Source organism: Homo sapiens, chromosome 1 (assembly GCF_000001405.40).
Source record: "Homo sapiens chromosome 1, GRCh38.p14 Primary Assembly".
In the NCBI taxonomy this organism is placed as follows: domain Eukaryota; kingdom Metazoa; phylum Chordata; class Mammalia; order Primates; family Hominidae; genus Homo; species Homo sapiens.
Window position 1 is genome coordinate 157,192,583 of NC_000001.11, and position 16,128 is coordinate 157,208,710.

The window sequence follows — 16,128 nt, forward strand, 5'->3', positions numbered from 1 at the left end:
CTGATCATGCCTACCTGATAGAGTTGTTTGAGGATTCATGAGATGCATATCAAGTGTGTAGCCTCAGCCCCTGGCACATAGTAAGTGTTTAATAAATGTCATTTGCCTGAAATATGCCAGGGAGCACCTGCCCAGGAAACAGCTATAGCAGATCTGAGGCCACAAGGTCTATTGGACACCTACACATATTATGTTAGAAGAGTAGATTTTGGCTTTTGGTGGTGATTGCTTTAGGAGATGGGTCAAAACTAATTTAAGCCCAAATACAGGAACACCCAAATATAGGCAGAGCAATTAGCAGTAGATAATTGGGGTGAGGATGCTGCTCTATTGCTTAGATTCTGATAAACAGGTCCTCCTGGATCTGCCCACCCTACAGAGAATGGGGACAGTGGACTGCCCTCTTTTCCTCTGCACATTCCCTGGGCAGAAGGTCCAGGGGAAAGAAGAGGTGGACAGAGAGCAGAGTGTTTACATGGGTGGGATAGGCAGAGGCCAGCTCTCCCTCCAGGTCAGGGTCTCCATAGATGGAAGTGTTCAGCCCAGGGGACAGCTACCTCTGTATGGGAGAGGTTCTTCCATCTCCTGTATAGGGAGGTTTTGAGGAGTTTGGCAATAGTAGCCAACATCATTTGCGGGGTCCCACCAACTCTGAAGGCCAGTGGAAGAGAAAGCATCTACTCCTCAATGGAGCTGGCCCCCTCAAGTGAGGGTCCTGGCAAGAACAGGGCTGCACTCTCTAAAGAAATCCCAGCCAGGAGGGAGGGGCCTCTGCCTCATTATTAACCTGGTCTTATCTCTGATGGCTATTTTGATTGGTGAGGTACTTGGCATCATGCTGTGCACTTGAACTCCATCCCAGAGACTGCGACCCTGGGGCAAACATTCAGTTACCCCATGGTTTATTCTACTGCATGTGTGAATTAATTGCCTTTCTTGTTTTGTGAGAGATTTGGTCCTCAAGTGTATAATTTACTCTGCTTATCCATTTGCACATGTTTAATGGTATTTCTTTCTGGTAGGTGAAGAATCACTGTGTTTGTGCGGTGGGGGGCAAGAGTGTTAAAACTATATTTACATTTTTCTTTATTGTAAATGGGTTTCAGTGGCTCATATTTTAAAACGTAGAAGTGAGTTGGCTGAGGAATTCGTGGGTATCTCTCCTCAGGACTCTCCTTTCCCCAAGGACAGTTTTATTTCGAAAGAAAAATTGGAAATGCAGAGCCACGAGGGGGCGCCCTGGACCCTGGTCTGGTGGTAAAGTCAGCACCTTCATAAAGCAAGGATCTCCTAGATGCCGGGTTCAGAATGAAATAGGAGCATTGGCTGAACATCTGCCGGGGACCTCACTGGGCACGCACAGGGCCTCACTTACTCAACGCAGACACTCCCTGAAGTGAGTGCTTGTGCCCCATTGTGATAAGCTCACAGGCTCAGGCAAGTTCAGCAATCTGTCCAGGGTTACTCAGGTAATATAGTGGAAAATGAGATTCAGACCCAATTCTGTGCAGTTCTAAAGACCCGGCTCTCTCAGACCAGCTGACTAAGGCTCATCTAGGGAGGGCTTGATACTTGGAAGGTGCTGGTCAGCGCGGAAGCGAGGTTGGTGGGCGCCCGTGTCCTCGGGGCAGGGTCACAGGCATCTGCCCACAAGGGAGATGTTTCTAGCCGGGGTCACGGAGCCTCGGGATGTTCCTGAATGTGGGAGAAACAGTCCCTCACCCTGACCATCTCGGAGTCTGTGTCCACCAAGAGCCCTTGTGGTTGGGAAGAGACTTTGTTAATGGGAATGGGGTGTCTGGGTTGCTGGTTAGGTGCCTGTCCCCAGACAGGGGTGTCTTTTATTTTAACATTATATAACATTATGTGTTACATACTGTTAAATATATTGTATAATAACAGTATATATATACTGTTATATAACATAATAAGAGTATTATATATGTTATATAATATACAATGTATTATATTGTGTATATATGCAATAATGAATATAATAAAATGTTTTCTGTTTTTAGACTCGAAGTACTGAGGATTTCGAGAATATCTCTCAGGGTGATTTTAGGGGAATTTGTCAGTGCTTCTGAAAATAGGATTGAGAAGATGTGGTCCCGTCCCAGGCGTAACTACTGAGGGCGTCAGGAACCAGTAAGGGGATGATGGCAGCGGCGGGCGGTCCGAAGCGGCCTCTGCCAGGGCCCCCGCTGCGGTGGGGTGCGGGCGCGGGCCGTGGGTCCTCGGGTGCGGACGCCCAGGCGAAGGGTCCCCGGGGCCTGCCGCCCTGGAGCCCGCCCCTGGGAGCTGCTGCGGCTGGGCCGGGCGGGGTCAAGCCACCCGCCGGCGGGGGAACTGCACAGTTGGGCACGGAGGGACCCCGAGGCGGAGCTGGGCCCAGGGCTGTGCCGCACTTGTGCACAGAGTACCGGCAGGCACCAATCGCCCGGCGGTGGCCGCACTAAAGGGGCCCGGGGCTGAAAGCGGGAAGGGTGCCCACTTCCCGGACCTGGCCAGCCTCGCCCACCCTGCTGACGGCGCCAGGTTCCTGCGCCTCCTGAGCTGGAGATTCAGCTCGTCAGGGCACCTGAGGTTGCGTCTCCAGGATCCACCCTGCGTCTGGGTGACCGCCGAGCTAGGTGCTCCCGGCCGCCGGTTCCCGGGCCCGCAGTCCGCTCCCGAAAGCACCCCCCTGGCAGGGTCTCAAGCTGGACGAAGGGGAGCCCCAGGTCACCCTGAGCGCTGGGGCCGCAGTGGGAACTTGCGGCGATGTCACCCCTGCCCTGCATGTCAGCCCAGGCCTGGCGAAGGCCTGAGCCCCGCCCCAGGCTGCACAGCGCAGCAGGAGCGGCTGCGGGAGCAGCGGTGACGGCAGTGGGTCGCCTGTGCCCCATGTCCCCAAGGCAGCTGACTGTGCCATCCCCACTTTCGCAAGCCGGGGCAGGACCAGCTCCCAGGCCGGGAGCCTCGGCTGCTGCCTCGATCTGGCTCCCTGCGGTGACCTGGGAGCCCAGGAACACCTGGCCAAAGGCGCAGCCGGGACTCGCGGGACTGGCCAGCGTGGGATTCATTTGTGCGGGGTTGGTCTGGGCCACTGTGCCACCTGCACCTAGACTGCCTCAGCTGTGGGGAAAGGCAGAGAAGGGGCACTGGGGTGGGGGTAGGGGGTTGCTGCACTCTGCAGAGCCAGGGACAGGTGGGAGCCCTGCCCCTCCGGAATCTGCAGGGTGGGAGCTCCCCAGGCCAGCTGCAGCAGCCCAGGTTGTGGCTGTGGGCCTGGGCATCATGGTGCTCTCCTCTCTAGCCTGTCCTCTCCCACTTCCTGGCACCGCTCTGATCTTGGAGCCGGGTTAGGGTGAGCTTGGGGGTTGTTGCAGCTCCACAGGGTGTATGCTAGGGCAGTGCTGATGCCCTGACCCCCTGCTGCCTTCATACCCCCAGACTTTGGGTGCCAAGGAGCAGGGGAGGGAGGCTGAGATGGGCAGCTAGGCATTGGCCTGAGGCCTCCTTGGCACCAGTGGCCTAGGTGCCATGGGTGGCTGCAGGAGGTAGACAGGCTCCTAGGCAGGAAGAGGCAGGTGTGGGTGAGGCCCCACTTTCAGGACAGGGAAGGCCTGAAGGCTGGCAGCTGGGTTTCCAGTCCCACTGACCAGAGTGGGGACTAGTGGTGCCTTGTCTGGGCTTCCCATGGCTCTCCATGGGCCAACTGGCATGCACTTCCTTCCCTCTGAGCCCCATAATAGCTCAGGGCTCAGCCAGAGTAGAGGAGAGGATGGAGAGGCGAGGATGGAGAGACAACTAGATGACCAGCTACTCTTTGCAGAGCCTCCTCTTTGCTGAGAGCTGTAGATTGGGAGGACCAACTGCAGACCAGGAGCTACCCTCTGCTGAGAGGTGAGCACTTGTCCGGATGACCTGCCTACAGAGAAGAGCTACCCACTGCTGGTCTCTGAGGTCTGTGCTGTTCTAACACTTAATAAAGCTCCTCTTCCTATTGCTCACCCTCCACTTGTCTGCATACCTCATTCTTCCTGGATGCAAGACAAGGCCTCAGACAAAGGCGCCACTGACCACAGAGGTTTCCAGCCAGAAAAAGCAACACCCCACAGAAAAAGCAAAACCCCAAAGATCCTGTGACAGTGATATTTATCAAGATAGGGAGAGGGGGCTGGAGGAGGGGTCAAGAGCAATAAAAGGCAAAAAACACTGAGTGTTTATCTAATAAGGTAGATGTTATTTTTCCCATTTTACATATGAGGAAACTGAGATTTAGAGAAGTTACGTAACTTGGTTAGGGTTAAACAGCTAATATTAGGCAAAGCTGGGACCTAAACGTGGGATTTCAGAGGCCAGTGTCCAATCTTTCTTTATAATAGTGAGTGGCCTCTCAGAAAACATGGACTTGATTCTCACCAGAAACCCAACACCTCTTCCCTAAGTGCTTTCCCGGTTTTTCTCAAATCCGGAAACTGTTGGTCTTTTGGGCAATTCTGAGCACAGCCACTAAGTGGCGACATTGCCCGACTATGGCTCAGCCCTGTTTCTCCGGGGAAGAATAGGGGAGGGGAGGGGAGGGAGTCGGAGTTGCCCTGTTGTGTGTTGTGCTGTGTGTGGGGCTTTCTTCTATCTATTTAGTCCTCCCAGCAACCCTGCAGAGGAGGTATTATCTCATTTTCCAGATGAGGCCATTGAGGATCTGCTGGATGATAGAGCTTAGCGGTAGAAGCAGGAATGGAATCAACGTCCAGTTGGATTCCAAGTCCTGTCTCCAAGCATGCTGGGCTCCCAAAGGAAAAGCCTTTCTGTGCCCTCAGACTACACAGTCTTGTGGGGAAGTGGACAGTGGGGACCCCACGTGAGTTTTAGGCTGGGACAGCCTAGCAGTGAAGGAGGAGGCTGGGTGAGGAGTAACCAAGCCTTAGCTTTGGTGATTGATGGGAAGAATTGGGTTCTGAGGTGGAAATCAATTACAGTTACAATCTGCTGTGTGGATCCCCTAGAGTGCTGCTCTACTGGAGACCAACATTCCATCCCTCAGCAAGTTTCTCCTTCTGCTTGGGAAGAGGCTGTGTTTTCTTCCCGATGAAATGGTTGGCTGGTGTTGAGGGGCTGCAAGCTGACTTGTGAGCTGGTTTTGTGCATCTCCTCCCAACCCTATGTTCACAGTCATGATGTTGGTAGTTTGAAATTAGACAGAGTGGGAATATTTACACCATGGAAATTGGAAACACTAGAAACCAGGGCTTTTTCCTCCTGCAGAGCCAGTGGTTAAACTGCTACCTGCTGACCACTGCCCACCAGGTAGCAGGAGGCACACACCTGAGAGGCAGGTGAGCCCAGAGAGATGGACCAGGGGCGCCCATGGATTTGCGGCTCCCATATCATACTTACTTTGGGATCTGAGTAGAATTGCTGCACATTTAAATGGATATTTTTTCCCTCTCTTTCATTTTTTGTTGCCGAGGGCAAATAACTGCATTTGAGAAGTTCAACCTGCATCTGACGTGCTTCCCCTGGAAAGCAAGATGGCTAAGATTGTGCTGTCTGTGAAGCCACCTAGGGGCTCAGTGACAGCAGCAGATGGTGACTGGGCAGGAAGGAAAGTCTCTTCCAGTGCCAGGCTCAGGTGTGCTCAGTAAATATGTGTTTCTTGGCAAGCAGTGGGGCTGTCACCTGTAGCTTAGCTGGAAGCTGCTTGTCTTGTGCCTGCATATTCCTGATGCCCCCAGGATGTTTACAGGCAGGGTTGGGACTGGGGTGGGGCAGCACGACCCCCACTCTCAGATGCCTGCTCTGCGCCAGCATGAGTCTCAGGGTTTCGGGCTGAACTGTGTCCCTGCAGAATTCAACTGGGGATGGAAATTCTAACCCCCAGTACCTCTGAATGTGACTGTATTTGAGATGGGGCCTTTAAAGACATGAGGAAGGTAAACTGAAGTCAAATGGGTGGGTTCTAATCCAATACACCTGGTGTCCTTATAAGAACAGGAGATTGGGAGATTAGGCAGGTACACATGAAGACTAGGTTAAGATGCAGGGGGAAGACAGCTGTATGCTAGCCAAAGAGAGAGGCCTCAGAGGAACCCACACTGCCAGCACCTTAACCTTGTTCTTCTAGCTTCCAGAAGTGTGAGAAAATAAATTTATGTTGTTTAAGCTTCCCGGTGTGTGTTCTTTGCCATGGCAGCCAGAGCTGAGCTGACTAATATACTGAGAGTGAGGGCCTCCCCGCCTCACCTCTTCATGGGGCCTGGTCTTGCATCAGCAGGGGGTGGGCAGAACCAGAGTACCTGGTTACATCACAGATGATTGACGACTTGCTAAGAGTGCTGGGAGAACCCAGAGCACCTAATTCACCTGGGACAGGTCAGGGCTGGCTCCCCAGGGCTACCTGAGCTGCATGTGGAAGGGGCAGCAATTTGACAGGGGATGGCAGGGAAGGGTCTTACTCAGGGAATGGGTGCAGGTGGGCAGGCTGGAGGCTGACTGGTGTCCTTCTGAGGTCTGTAAGGGATGGGGCTGATCCCCATAAATGGGGAGTTGTTTTCCTAATGAATGGCTCCTGCTGGGCTCTCCCTCTCCTCTGTGCCCTATTGAGAGGGCCCTCAAAAGTCTATCGGCACATTCAGGGGGCCGCAGGTGAGATCGCAGAGACCACAGGTTTCCTTGCGGGGTGGAGCAGCTGTGGCCTGTGCCTGGTGATTTGGAGGTTGTGTTGGATGATGTGGTCTATCCTTCCCTGCAGGACAGAAGAGAGATGCTGGGAACCAAGAACCCAGAGGGAACTGTCATAATAAAGGAAGGCCTGTGGAAAGGCGCCTGTCTGCTGTGGTTTGGTGTGAATGTCACTGACACACTGAGGCCAGGCAGGAGCCCTGGCTGGGAGCTGGGCCTTAGCACAGGCCTGAGCCTTATTTCTCAGGCTGCGAGAACAGCTGAGGCTTCTCAGACCAGCATGTGTGCAGGGCTGGGCTGGACACGAGGCAGTGCAGGCCTGTTTGTGACTCACAGAGTGCAGAGGGAGGTGACTGCAGTGGGTCCAGAGCCGCCTTGGGGCCCAGAGGCTCCAGAGATGCAGCCACAGGCCTTGGTTCCTCTGCCTGGGGGTGGTGTGAGGGAGGTGAGATGCTGCCTGGGACAGGCCTGGCCTCCCTCTCCCTTGGTGTGGCTCCTCAAGGTCTGAAGCTGTCCTAGTGTGGGAGACTCACTTCACTGAGAGGGGACTTGAATTTGGAAAGACCATTGGTTTGGGAGGCCAGGGACCTGGTCCCTGGCCTGGCTCTGCCAGTTACTCACTTTCTACACCTTGGGTTTACCAGTTCATCTCTTTGGAACCTCAGTTTCCTCATCTGTAAAATGAGAAGGTGATCATAATGATGCCCATGTGCCCCTCACAGGTGATGTGCCCCAATGTGTCCATGGGTCAGACTCCTCCCAGCCTCACCCCGTGGAACTTAGTTTGCCCCTCACAGGTGATGTGCCCCAATGTGTCCATGGGTCAGACTCCTCCCAGCCTCACCCCGTGGAACTTAGTTCAGGGAAAGCTCCTGTCTCATTGCCATGGGCACAGGGGCCCAGTTCAGTGACCTGAGTACAGGACGACCTTCCATCACCCACCTTTGAGATCCCCTCCCCATCAGAATAGTCTCAGGCTACCCACCTTCGCAAAATAGAGACGGTCTCCAATTGTCTCATACAAAACAGTGAGGCTTTGTCTTTTGATATTATATGAAATAAATAAGACATACTAGCAGATCATATTACAATTTTTAAAAAAACCCTACAAGCAAAAGACCTAAAAAGTTCAATGAAGTGTGATCCATCCATGGGTCCTCTGTGAGTCTCCTGAGACTGTGCATATGTGGAGTATTTTACCTCTGCTCAGTCAGTATTGTTGAGTTGAGATGAAGGTTACCCGATGGAGTGTTCCCGTCTCCTCTGCTGCTCGGCCTCATCCTGATCCCTTGTGGTGGTTGGTGTATGTAAGGTGCAGCTCTGAGCCCTGGCCACAGAGGAAGGTCACCACCTCCTTGAGAATGGGGTCTGTTCCAACGTTCTGGAGCCCTTCTCTTGAGGGGCCAGAATTGTTCTGGCTCTTCTGGTCAACCTCAGGCCACGGGCTTGGAAATGTCGTGTTAGGTCTGGAGAATGGAGACAGAGAGCATGGGGTAGGGGAGGAAAGAGGTGGCCCAAATAGACTCAGTGTAACCCCACAGCTGAAGCCCATGACAGACGCAGGCCCTGGGTGTGCTCCCAGCAGGGGACGTTCTTCAGTGTTTGTTTGTTAATGATGAATATTTCCTGCCTTTGGGTCACTTCCCCACTTATTTCCACCCTTTTGAACTCTTGCGCTGCGTTTCCAACCATTGGTGGTCTCAAAGGCACCTCACACCCAGGCCCCTTAGACTAACCATGCCCTTTCTCCCTAGAATTGTTAAAGGCTGAGCACCCTCTCATCTTGATAGCTGAATGTCCTTCTTGCCTTTACCCTCATAACCAATCCTCTGCCGGGTGATCCTGCTGCAGCAACATCTCATTCTCTATCCCCTCACCTCTACCTCCATTGCTGCCCTCACTTAGTCCCTCATCTCTTGCCTGGATTGTTACAGTGTCTCCTGTCTGATCCTATGGCTCAAGCATCTCCCAAAAAGCCAGGCTGCACTGAACAAGCCACCTAAAGCATCCTCTGATCCTGCCTCACCCCTGTTCAAACAAAGTAAGCGATTTCCAGTTATCCACAGAATGTATTCTAGATGTCTCAGCCTGGCATTTAGCAACATTTACAGCCTTGCTACTCAGAGTGTGGTCCTCACACCAACTGCATTGGCGTCATCCAGGACCTTATAGTAAATGCAGAATCTTAGCCCCCCTCCGAATGACTAAATCAGAATTGCAGTTTTTAGAAAATTGCCAAGTGAATTGTATACACATTCAAATTTGACAAGTGCTGCCTTACAGTCTGATTTCTTCTTTTTAAATATGTACATATGTAATCATATATATATGTATGTATACATACACACACACACACACACACACACACAAAGTCATACATGTATGTGGTTTTTAAAAACATACTGAAAATTCTCAGTCTCCTGCTGGTCCCAGTTTCTCTCCCCAGAGGCAACTGCTTCTGTTATTATTTCTGCCTTCAGTTTTTCTATGATTACTGCTCTGTTTCTAGGTAATACTTTTAAGGCTGTTTCTGGAGTTTTCAATCTGGAATATCATCCAATGCCTTCCTGCTATTCCAGGAGGCACTTAGCTCAATCTCATTACCCCCACACCCCTTCTACTCAGCTCTGGAAGTGGAATTGTTCCTGACTCTGCCAGTTTTTCTCACCTGTCTGGTGATCTTTCGTCATCCTCTTATATCTAAATAGAGCCAGGTTGTTCTGTCAGGCTCCACTTTAGGGGGCAGGGCAGGGAGCTGGCGATTATGCTGGGGATCCTCTAAATGTCAGAATGAAGTGTTGATTCTAAATCCTGGCTATTGTGAATAGCGCTGCCGCAAACATGGGAATTGCAGATATCTCTCAACATACTGATTTCATATCATCTGGGTATGTACCCAGAAGTGGGATTGTTGGATCATATGGTAGTTCTGCTTTTCATTTTTCTGAGGAATCTGCATACTGTTCTCCATAGTGGCTGTACTAATTGACATTTCCACCAACAGTGTAGAAGAGATGGATGCCCCAATTACACGAATGTAATTATTACACATTGTATGCCTGTATCAAAATATCACATGTATCTCATAAATATATACACTTATTGTGTACTCATAGTAATTAAAAAGAAAAAAAATTTAAACAATGAGGGGGGCTTTCCTGAGTCTCCATTACCCACACCAGCTGCCCGAGTTCTCTCCACTGTATATTCAGGGATTTTTTCCTTTTTGTGTTTAAAGAGCTCTCCGTTGTTTGTGTCTGAGGAGGAAATGCCTGACTTCTGGAAGGTCGGTGTCTGGAGCTGGTGGTGGGTGGGGGTTTACTACATCATACATGGACCTCCCACAAAGCTCCCTGTCTCAGCCCCACTTCTCACCCAACCCTGCATCCCACCTGGCCTCTCTGAGCTCAGAATCCCTGCGGGTTCCTCTGGGCGGACAGCTCCAATCCCTGCTGCACCCCTATTTGTGTATTCTAAGTCAGTGATTCTCAAACTTAGCTGTGCATTGAGCACACTGGGCTCCCCTGGGTCCTTAAAGGAAAACTGTTCCCTGGGCACCACCCCAGAGATTCCGATGTGGTTGGTCCAGAGTCTGGCACTATCTTTCCAAGCCACCTCTTCCATCTCTCTCTGAGATTCCGGGCCTCTCTGGTCTGCTCATTAGCTGCCAACCAGTCTCACCTTCATGTTGTTATTTAAAAACTAAAACAACATACATGTACTATATTATTTTTAAGGAGCTTGAGGAAGGATGAGAGACACATGCATGTGCTTAGAATTAAGCCTGGTAGGTTGTGGAGCTCAAGAAAGGTTTCCTTCCCTTTCCACCACTCACCTCCACACTGCAGCTGACCCTTAATCTTGTATCTGCAGACCTCATGCTTTCCCATAGTCAAGGGCCATACCTCTCTATTCTTCGGTAGTGTGTTGGGCTGGGCTGCGACTTCCTAAAAGTCCTCCATCCAAGGCTTATTTTTCTCAGGACCTCCAGGACCCTGGGAAATTATCTCTATTCCTTGACCATCCGGATATAGGTTCTGCCTGACCATGGGTGTTCCCTAACAGGGATTAAGTGGGTCACAGGTCAGAGGTCAGAAGTCTGGCTGATCACTGAAGGGTTCACCTTTCATACTTTGATGTCTGAATGAGTCACTATTTATACCTGTGGGGGAAGCTGTGGGAGCAGGTCATGCTGCCTTGTTGTCTTCGTGGGATGAGACGGGAAGACCTGGGGCTCTGGTCTCAGCTCCACATTAAGGAAGGATATCTGAGGACCCTAGGGTAAAGGGTGGCATGGGGAAGATCTTACCAAGTCCCCTCATTGCCCCAGTGTCTTCACGGTCTAGGCATACCCCGGAGCTCTGGGCTTGTCCAGATCTTTTCATACACAGTGTGGACTGCTGGAGCCAGCATGGGGCTCTGTGCATGGCAGCTTCTCTTCTCCATGTCATTCTACAATTCTGGTGGGGTTGAGTTGTGGGCTTGGTCAGCTTCTAAGAATTATGCAAAGGAGCCAGTCAGGCTCTTCTGTACTGTAAGTTCCTTGAGGGCAGGGGCTTGTTTTATTTTTCACTCCCCTGCTGCCATCCCCAGCACATGGTAGGCACTCAGTGCAAATATGTGGGTTGAGTGCTGAGTGGGGGAGTGACTAAAGAAATGATGAAGTAGAGACTGTTCAGAAGACAGCCCCCAAGTGAGCAGGAGGAGCTCAGGAGAGCACTGTGGAACATTCATGTGCAGATTGGTGACTATAACTCCTTTTTCAAACCAGGTGTTCCTGCTGTGTAGTCCTGGGAAGGGAAGAAGGTTGATATTTTATGAAACCAGGGCCTGAGGATGCAGCTCCTTTGTAAAAGCTCCCTCTCCCTAACCCACCCTGTATAGTCTCTTCTATGGGTGAGCCCTTAGGCTCACAGGGAAGCATGATAAATGGCAGTAGTGACCACAGGTGTTCATCCTTCTCATAGGAAGCTGACCGTGGATTATGTACTCAGAGGTGGTAATCATCTGCAGAAAGGGGATGTCTGGCATGCAGAAAAAAACAATAGACATCCATCAGCCTGCATGGGCCATGCATGTCCAGCCCATCCAGGGAGGGAATCTGTGTCTGGGGAGACAAGCACTCCAGGGCTGGGGGGTGTCCTGAGGGTTTATCAGGCCTCACTCCTCAAGTCCTCCTCCCCTTCTTGGATTTTGATGAGCAATCCAGCCTCCCAGGCTCCTTGATGCTGGAAACAGGGTGTCCAAGTGCCAGTCCCACATTTATGTCTCGGACAATGTGGCCATCTCCAAATATTGGCCCAACTTCTGGACTTGCAGGTTTGAAGACTGTAACAAGGATATGGTTGTTCACTGAGGTGGGGACCTTCTGATTGCACCACATGAATAGCCTTAGTGCTCCTCAGTTCCATTACTTTCCTGAGTCTTCCCAGTCTTGCCTCTACCCCATTCTCTGCCATCCCATTTCCATCACTCTTCCTGGGAGATCACACCTCTCTAAGGACAGATGCTTTCTAGTTCAAAGTTTGCATTCTGGTCTGCAGGGTTGCTCACTATACAGGTGAGGTGACCATTCAGCTGGGTCAGAGGAAGGCTCATGTTTAGCTTCCTGGAGTTGGGGGCTGGCACCAGTGTCCCTCTCTGCTCCAGCTTCCTTGGGAGGACCTTGCTCAGCCAGGTCACAGTTAGGTTCTCTGTGGCCCCTGGAGTCCCACACTCCAGGCTGATATTGTATCAACCTGATGTATTGGATGATGAATTAATCAGAATTTGAGGATTAGGTATGGGTTCTGGGGCAAGAAAGGAAAAAGAGAAATGGAGCTTCAGGATTGGAGGCTCACCTGAGTATCTCACCCACTCTCACCTATGTGAAGCAGCAATGTGAGGCTGCCCATTCTCTGAACATAGGCCTGGGGAAGGAACCAATCCTCCTGGCCCAGGGGTTCTGACTCTTAGCCCAGGGGCAGATGGTTGAGGCCCTTCCCACTCAGAGAGGGAACCCGGAGCACCTCACCACTCATCTACTCTAAGGAGCAAGGTGAGCATCACTTCCTGGACTTTCCCCAGGCTGCCCTGGCCCCTCATCACACCTCCCATGCCTCCTTGGCTATTCAAATTTCCCTGCTCAGAGATTTTCCACGACCTCTGTGGGAGATTTGAACCTAGAATGCATACCCCTCCTAGCAAGCGTTAGACTAAAAGGGTAAAACAAAGACACTTTAAAACATACTAATAATTACAAAGTTAATCACCTGTCTAAAGGAAACTCAAAGATGTTCAGGGAAAAAAATTTTAATGAATTCAAGAACAAGGAAGAAACGAGATATAGCAATGATCAAAGAAATAAGTGAAACTCATGGTTCAATACAGATAATTAATATATATGATTATCTATATCTATATATCTACCTATAGCTATATCTATATATGCAGTGACCACAATATGGATGGGTTGAAAACACAGTCTGAAAACATGTCAAAGTTCTTGTTTTGTTCAGAGAAAGAAAAAAACTGATTATCTTTAAATGCTAAAGTAAAAATTTAAGTTTAGTTAACTAGTAGGATAAAAGTATAAGATTGTATAACTTCTAAACTGCTGGAGAAGTTTAGATAGAAGAAAACTCTATTAATATAACAAAAGGCAAGAAAAAATTAAGTATATTAAATAGAAAACATTAAATAAGATGCCAGGAGTAGGTCCACACGTGAAACATTGAACTACATTACCCAAAGGATTATAAATTGTGCTGCTATAAAGACACATGCACATGTATGTTTATTGCGGCACTATTCACAATAGCAAAGACTTGGAACCAACCCAAATGTCCAACAATGATAGACTGGATTAAGAAAATGTGACATATATACACCATGGAATACTATGCAGCCATAAAAAATGATGAGTTCATGTCCTTTGTAGGGACATGGATGAAGCTGGAAACCATCATTCTCAGCAAACTATCGAAAGGAAAAGAAACCAAACACCGCATGTTCTCACTCATAGGTGGGAATTGAACAATGAGAACACATGGACACAGGAAGGGGAACATAACACATTGGGGACTGTTGTGGGGTGGGGGGAGGGGGGAGGGATAGCATTAGGAGATATACTTAATGCTAAATGATGAGTTAATGGGTGCAGCACACCAACATGGCACATGTGTACATATGTAACAAACCTGCACATTGTGCACATGTACCCTAAAACTTAAAGTATAATTAATAATAATTAAAAAAAAGAAATGGAAATACATTTGAATGCATTATATTTCCCTACTAAAAGGCCAAGACTTGCAGATTAGATAAACCCAGTGTGTGCCATATGCATTATCTGATGACAAAGAATGATTCAAAAGAAAGAGATAGAAAATGATAGACTAGAAAAATGTCAGCAAAGATTGTAAGTGTGGCACTAGTCACTACAGACTAAACAAAATTTGGGATTAAAAAAACATTAAGTGGGCCAAAAAGAAATAGTTGAGCTTAATATGTACCTAACAACATGGTTTGGAAATGTATTTAATATAAATGTCACAAAGCAAAACAAAACAGAGACAAACAAACAAAAAAGCTACTGGAAATACAATGATAAATGACCAAATCCACTACTACTATGGTGAATTATTTTACTATGTTGGATAGACCTAAGTAAACTATAGAGGAGGCTGTAATACAAGTAAAAACAGACATTAATAACCAGGTGACCCATCTGCTAGGTAGCTCTCTCCACACTCATGTCCAGTCCTCGCTCTGTCCTTGTATTTATCTATGGTGGAGTCTGGAAGGTTAAATCCTCAGTTTCTCAGTCTTTCTTGAAGTTGGAGTTCTGACCAATGAAGTAAGGGGAATGGCCATCTTGGGACTCCGAGGCCACAAGCATGAGGATAAGCGTAGGTGTGCCCAGGACGGTAGAGCAGCAAGATGGAGAGAGCTTGCGTCCCTGACCACAGGGCTGAGCAGCTCAGCCAACGCCAGCAGATGCTCTCTCTCGACTTCTTGTGGGGAAAAAAGAGTCAAACATATTCCTCACATATACACATAGATAATAATAAAAAAGAAGTATTCAATCAGCAAAATGAAAAGTTGATTTCTTAAAAAAGACTAATGAAAAGAAAAAATATTGATACATCTGACTAAAAAATCAAAATCATAAGCAAACGACATTAGGAATGAGAATTGGGACATAACCACACATATAGAAAAGATATTACAAGTAAGAAAACAGGCCGGGTGCAGTGGCTCATACCTGCAATTCCAGCACTTTAGGAGGCCATGGCAGGAGAATTACTTAAGATTAGGAATTTGAGGCCAGTCTGGGCAACATAGTGAGACCTTGTCTCTACTAAATAAATAAATAAATAAATAAATAAATTAAATTAAATAAAAATTAGCTGGGCATGGTGGTGTGCGCCTGTAGTCTCAGCTACTCTGGAGGCTGAGGCCAAATCACTTGAGCTATGGCTGGGTTTGGATCAGCACTCAGGGATCCAGGGCCCTGGTCAGCCTCTGGCTTCCATTAACCTCTGCTCTGAGATGGTTCTCACAGTTCAAAGCACCACATTCTCACACAGCCACATTCAGAGGCAGAAGTCTGAGGGCAGCGTGGGGCCAGATTTTCTCTCCACCCTCTGCTTTGGTTTTAACTGTCCCACAAATTTCATGTGTTGAAACTTAATCCCCAATGTGGCAGTATTAAAAGGTGGAACCCTTAATAGGTGATTGGGTCATAAGAACTCTGCCCTCATGAATGGATTAGTTCTTTCATGGATCAGTGGATTAAGGGGTATTAAAGTAAGTTTAGCCTAAAGCTTTCTCCTTACATATTATAGGTTCGGCTGAAAGGTTTCTCCACACATGGTGAAATGTAACCTAGCTGGCTGTGTAAACAAACTATAACCTACTCTTGTACCAATCACAGAGTTTTGGCCAATCACAGACGGTCAACTCCTCAAACTGTGTTCATACAAGTAGGCATTAAGCTGCTTTTTTGAACATGATAGGTTACGGCTTAAACAATCCAGCTGTTTCTGTACCTCCCTGTCTATCACTTTCCTTTTTTGGTCCATAAATATTATCCGATCATCTGGCAGCCCCCGAGCAGCTCTGAACCTATTCTGGTTCTGGGGACTATCTAATTGTCAATGGTTCTTTGCTCAGTTAAATTCTGTTAAATGTAATTTGTCTAAAGTTTTCTTTTATGATGGGTTAATGGATTAATGGATGATCATGGGAGTGGAACTGATGGCTTTATATGAGGAAGAGAGACCTGAGTAAGTACACTAGTAGCTCACACTCAGGCCCCTTAGACTAAGGCTCCCCTTCCTTCCTAGGGTATCTAAAGCCCCAGCACCCTCCCAGCTTCATAGCTGGATGTCCTTCTTGTCTTTACCCTCATAGCAAATCCTTCGCCAAGTGATGCTGCTGCCCCAAGATTCGGCATGTGATAGCCTGTGCCACCTC

The 16,128-nt window shown here is 48.9% G+C and overlaps 1 annotated feature.

Moving 5' to 3' along the window:
* Positions 1,202 to 1,434: a silencer, noted in NCBI's record as "fragment chr1:157163574-157163806 (GRCh37/hg19 assembly coordinates)". NCBI's record gives its function as "represses an EF-1alpha promoter that drives an FKBP-Casp9 reporter gene in an ReSE screen in K562 erythroleukemia cells {active_cell/tissue: K562}" and the evidence as "EXISTENCE:reporter gene assay evidence [ECO:0000049][PMID:32094911]".